The sequence below is a fragment of the Homo sapiens genome, chromosome 1, assembly GCF_000001405.40.
Source record: "Homo sapiens chromosome 1, GRCh38.p14 Primary Assembly".
NCBI lineage: Eukaryota > Metazoa > Chordata > Mammalia > Primates > Hominidae > Homo > Homo sapiens.
The window spans coordinates 76,843,818-76,849,817 of record NC_000001.11 but is presented as its reverse complement, the minus strand read 5'-3'; the positions used below and the strand labels follow the sequence as shown (position 1 = coordinate 76,849,817).

At 34.4% G+C, this 6,000-nt stretch overlaps 2 annotated features.

Annotated features, from left to right (window-relative positions):
* Positions 5,668–5,868: a silencer, noted in NCBI's record as "peak293 fragment used in MPRA reporter construct". NCBI's record gives its function as "represses an SCP1 promoter by STARR-seq MPRAs in K562 erythroleukemia cells {active_cell/tissue: K562}" and the evidence as "EXISTENCE:reporter gene assay evidence [ECO:0000049][PMID:32103011]".
* Positions 5,805–5,854: an enhancer, noted in NCBI's record as "active region_1211". NCBI's record gives its function as "activates an Ori minimal core promoter by ATAC-STARR-seq in GM12878 lymphoblastoid cells {active_cell/tissue: GM12878}" and the evidence as "EXISTENCE:reporter gene assay evidence [ECO:0000049][PMID:35858748]".

Sequence of the window (6,000 nt, the reverse complement as noted above, 5' to 3'; positions counted from 1 at the left end):
CCAGATATATATGCCATATATGTGTACCATATATACATATATATGGTATATATGGTGTATACATGTATACTGTATATATAGATGGTATATATATGCACCATATATATGGTATATAAGGATGGTATATATATGGTGCATATATATGGTATATATATGGCATATATAGAACATATACAGATATACATACACATATATACACATATGGTATATATGGTATATATGTATATGTATGGTGTGTATATATAAATATATGTGTATATATGTTGTATATATACATACACACAGAAATATACCATATATATATATGTAGAATTTTCCAGTAGAATTCCAGTGGAATTTTCCAGTAGAATTCCAATAGAATTCCCAACAGCAGGGGAATATACATTCTTCTAAAGCACAGAAGAAATATTCTCCAAGATAAACCACCTGTAAGGTCACAAAAGAAGTCTTAACAAATTCAGGAAGATTGAAATCATTCCAAGTATTATTTTTAACCACAATGAAATGAAACCAGAAATCTACAACAGTAGGAAAATAAAAGCATTCATAAATATGTGGCAACTAAATAACACACTCTTGAGCAATCACTGAATCAAAGAGAAAATCAAAAAAGACTATTTAAAATATCTTAAGAGGAACAAAAATGAAATGCAATATACCAAAAGTTATGCAGTGCAGCATAAGTAGTACTAAGATGGAAATTTATAACATTAAATGTTTACATTAAAACAGAAGAAAGATTACAAATAAATAACTTAACTTTATACCTCAATGACATAGAAAAGAAAGAACAAACTGAGCCCTAAATTAGTAGAAGAAAGAAAATAATAAAGATTAGTGCAGAAATAAATAAAATAGAAAATGGAAAAAAATACAAAATCTACAAACCAAGATTTTTTTTTGCAGAAATAAACAAAATCAACAATCTTTTAGCTAGACTAAGAAAGAGAAGACTGATAAATAGAACCAGAGATGATAGAGGAGACTTTACAATAGATGCCTCAGAAATAAAAAAGGAACATATGTTGGCATATGAAGAATTATATGCCAACAAATTGGATAACCTAGAAGAAAAGGATAAATTTCTAGAAACATACATTCTAACAAAACTCAATCAAGAAGAAATAGAAAGTCTGAACAGACCAACGACAAATAAGGAGACTGAAATGGGAAACAAAAACCTCCCAACAACAAAAAAAAGCATAGGACCAGATGGCTTCATGAGTGAATTCTCCTAAACATTAAAGAATTAATGGTGATTTTTCTTCAACTTTTTATAAAAATAGAAGAGGGAATACTTTCAAACTCATTTTATGAGACTAGCATCACTGATACTAAACGCAGACAAAGACACCAGAAGAAAACTTACTGATGAACATAGATGCAAATATCCTCAATAAAACACTAGCAAACCAAATTAAATAGCACATTAAAAGGATTATACATCATGGCCAAGGAGGATTCATCCCTGGGATGCAGGGATGGTTCAATATGCATGAATAAATCAATGTGATACACCACATTAACAAAATGAAAGAAAAAAAACAATGATTATCTCAATAGACACAGAAAAAGTATTTGACAAAGTGTGGCATCTATTAATAATTAAAACTCTCAACAAAATAGAAATAACTTATCTCAACACAAGAAAGGCCATATATGAAAAGCCCATGGCTAACATTATCAATGAAAATTGAAAGCTTTCCCTCTAAGATCCAGTACAAGGCAGGGATTCCCACTCTCACCACTTACATTCAACAAAGTACTGGATGTTCTAGCCAGTGCAATTAGACCAAATAAATAGAAATAAACATCTGAAAATAGAAAAATGGAAAAAAAATCTGAACCAGAAAGGAAGAAGTGACATTGTATAATAGTTTATTTCAAGCTGAAAGAAAGGAACAAGAAAAATTCTGTTTGCAGATGACATGATTGTATATGAAGAAAATATTAAAGACTCAACATAAAACTGTTAGATAATAAATTCCATAAAGTTGCAGGATACAAAAATCAAAATGTGAAATTAGTTTAGTTTTATACACTAACAATGAAATATTTGAAAAGAAAATTAAGAAATAAATCCTGTTCACAATAGCAATAAAAATTAAAATACTTAGGAATAAATTTAACCTGAGAGTTGAATGATTTGTATACTGAAAGTGTAAAACATTAGTGAAGGAAATTAAAGAAGACACGGATAAATGGAAAGACATCCAAGTTCATGGATTAAGAAAGAATATTGTTAAAATGTTCATACTACCCAAAGTGATCTACAGATTCTATATAATTCCTATCAAAATCCCAATGGCTATCTTTAAATACATAGAAGAAAATTCTAAAATTCATATAGATCCCAAAATGACCATGAATAGACAAAGTAATATTGAACAAGAAGAATAAAGCTGAAAGCATCACTCTCCCTGATTTTAAAACATATTACAAAGCTACATTAATCAAAATGGCATGATACTGGCATTATAAAAAAAGACATATGAACTAAATGGAACAGAATACGGATCCCAAAATAAATCTATGCCTTTAAAGTCACTTGATCTTTACAGAAGTGCCAAGAACACACACTAGGGAAGGGAAGAGCACACACTAGTCTCTTCGATAAATGATATTGGGAAAACTGGATATCCACATGCAGAATGAAATTGGACCCTTATCATACCATATACAAAAAAGAACTCAAAATGGATTAAAGGCTCAAACATAAGGCCTGAAACTATAAACGACTAGAAGAAAACATAGGGAAAAAGCTTCTTGACAATGGACTGGGCAATGATTTTTTTGGATATGACAGCAAAAGTACAGGCAACAAAAGCAAATATAGACAAATGAGATTACACCAAACTAAAAAGCTTATTATGGTCAGCAAAGAAAACTATCAGCAGAATGAAAAGGCAATATGGGAAGGGCAGAAAATATTTATAAACCATACACCTGATAAGGGGTTAAAATCCAAAGTATATAAGGAATTAAAAAACTCAATAGCAAAAAAACACAAAACAAAACAAAAAACAGATTACAAAATGGGCTAAGGACCTGAATAGATAATTTCTCAAAGGCATGTAAATGGCCAACAGGTATATGAAAAAGTACTCAACATCTCTGATCATCATCAAAACCACAATGAGATATCACCTCACGTTTGCTGAAATGGCAAAAGATAAGTGTTGGCAGGAATGTGGAGAAAAGGGAACCCTTATTTGCTGTTGATAGGAGTGTAAATTGGTTTAGCCATTATGGAAAACTGTATGGTGGTTCCTCCAAAAATTAAAAATAGAACTACCATATGATCTAGAAATTCCACTTCTGGGTGTATAGCCAAAGTAAATGAAATCATTATCTCAAAGATACTGAGTGGAAATGGAGATGTCTGCACTTCCATGTTTATTACAGCATTATTCACAATAGTTGACATATGGAAACAATATTAGTATCTATAGAGAGACGAATGAATAAAAAGAGTGGTGCATATATATATATACATATATATATACATATATATACATATATATACATATATATACATATATATATACATATATATATTTAGCCTTTAAAAAGGTATCATTCATGTATGCATATATATACATATATTTATACACACATACATCAATATTTATCTATATATCCATTAAAAACCATGAGTTCACACTGATATCTCCCATTCCACTCTAACACCTTAGAGCTCTTTCTAGTCTTCCCCCTTTCTATATTTGTAATCCTTTCTTTGACAGTGGGAAACTTATTTCCATTATTTGCAATACACTTATTTATTTGTTCAATCCTTCTGCACCAACCTTTAGGTCATGCAGCTGTCTCTTTGGTCCTCAGCCTTGTTGCTGCCTCTCTAGCCTTGTTGCACTTCCTGGTCTCACTGCCCCCCTCCACAGCACCACTGCCTCCTTGGGCCTCCCACCCTGTAGCCAGCCCTCCTTGGTCCTGCAGCCTTTCAGCTCCACCCCTTTCCTGGTGCCAGCTAGGCCATCATTTCCAAGGAAAAGGGAAAGGAGAGGAAGGAGAAAGGAAAGAAAGAGGAAGCGCTTCTTTCTTAAAAGTTAAGAGGTCAAGCATAGACTCGGGCTTTGGGGAAAATGATAGATTGCATATTTTTGAAAAGATCTCTCGCTGACAAACATCTCGATGATGGGTAAATTAAAATCAAACAAACAAAAAAGTTATAAATACATTACTAAATGTGCAAAAAGTAAGGGGATTGTCCCAAGACCAGTAAACCCCAACAACATAATAAATAAAGGAATATTACAAATTAAATCGTCAGGAGCTGAAACCAGAGGGATCCAGGGGCACAGCAACCTGGGGATGTCCTGCGTGGGGGAGGGGAAAGAAATGCAGTTACCCTTAAAATAGAACTTTGGAGATTAATGACACATACAGGGATGAGGAATACTAAACTGAGACCTCTGCAATGCAGGCAGCTGAATGGGTCACTCCCACATTCACTGGGGACACTATAAGTGTGCACACTCTCACTGAAAGAGTAGGCTAGAAATTGACACTGAAACTGGCCTATCTCTGCCAGGTGGAAAAACAGAGGTATCTTCTGGGAATTTGCTACCATTGACCTACTCTCATGTGGTATTTGGAATTCAAATTTATATGACCTCTGTGGCCAGTGAAATAGCTAACAGATGAAATTCAACAGGTTCTGGCATCCGGAACTTTTTCAGATCTTCTTTGGAGAAAACCAGACCTTATATGAGCTCGTGGTTTTAAGCAACTCAATCTTAGCAAACATATGTTTGAAAATCAACAGAAATAACCAATCAAAGATTTGAGCCCTATGAGCTTCAGATATTTGGGTTATCAGAGACATAATATAATACACCTATTACAGGCTGAATTATGTGTCCCTCCCCCAAATTCATATGTTGAAATCCTGAGCCCTGATATCTCAGTATGTGACTACATTTGGAGACAGGGTCTTTAAAGAGGTAATTAAGTGGGAAGGAGGTCATTAGAGTGAACTGTAATCCAATATGACTAGTGTCCTTATAAGAAGAGAAAATTTGAACACAGTCTTGCACAGAGGGGAGATGATGTGAAGACACAGGCAGAAGACAGCCATCTACAAGGCAATGAGAGAGGCCTGTAATAGATCCCACTCACAGCCCTCAGAGGGAATCAACCCCACAGACACTTTGATCTCGGACGTCTAACCTCCAGAACTGTTAGACAATAAATTTCTGATGTTTAAGCCACCCAGCCTATGGTACTTTGTTACGGCAGTCCTGGAAAACCAGTACAATAATTATGTATGAAATGTCAAAGAAATGAAAAGAAAAGAAAGCAAAGAACAAGAGACTATCAAAAACAATCAGATATATTTAGGGAAAAAATATATAATCATTGAAATTATGAACTGCTAAAAGCATCTAGAACTCTTATACACTGATGGTAATGTTACTGGCACTGCACTCTGGGTTCTTGAAATCTCCCAGGATAGAAAATCAAGAGAGATCACCAGACATAGTAACAAAGAGAAAGTGAAAGTTTTTTGAGTTTGTGCACAAGAAAGCGAGCACAATGAAAGGAAAATGGCGGGCTGCTCCCCATGGTAGTATATGGGTTCGTTTCATAGGACATTTCCATAGGGAAGGGTTTCATCAGGGCATGTAGAGGAGGGGTTTCTTTAACACATGCGCAGTGGCTTTACATGGTTCTTCGTATACTGTATGCAACCTTAGCATTTTAAATCTCCATCCCAGGCATGAAGTTTAAGTCTAACTGTGCATGTGGGAGCCCTCAGGGAAGTCCCTACCCCACTAACACAGGAACCTGTGGTTAATAGCTTCTTGGGTCCTTTGTTGCTGATTGACTGGAAGTTAGATAAGCTACAGCTTGAGTAAGGGGCTCTTGTTCTTTTGCTCTAAACCACATTAAATAAGGAAACCAGCCTGCCTACCCTTTTCAGTGGGAATGTAAATTGGTACAAATACTTGGAAAGATTGGTTGTATCTATTAAAAGTG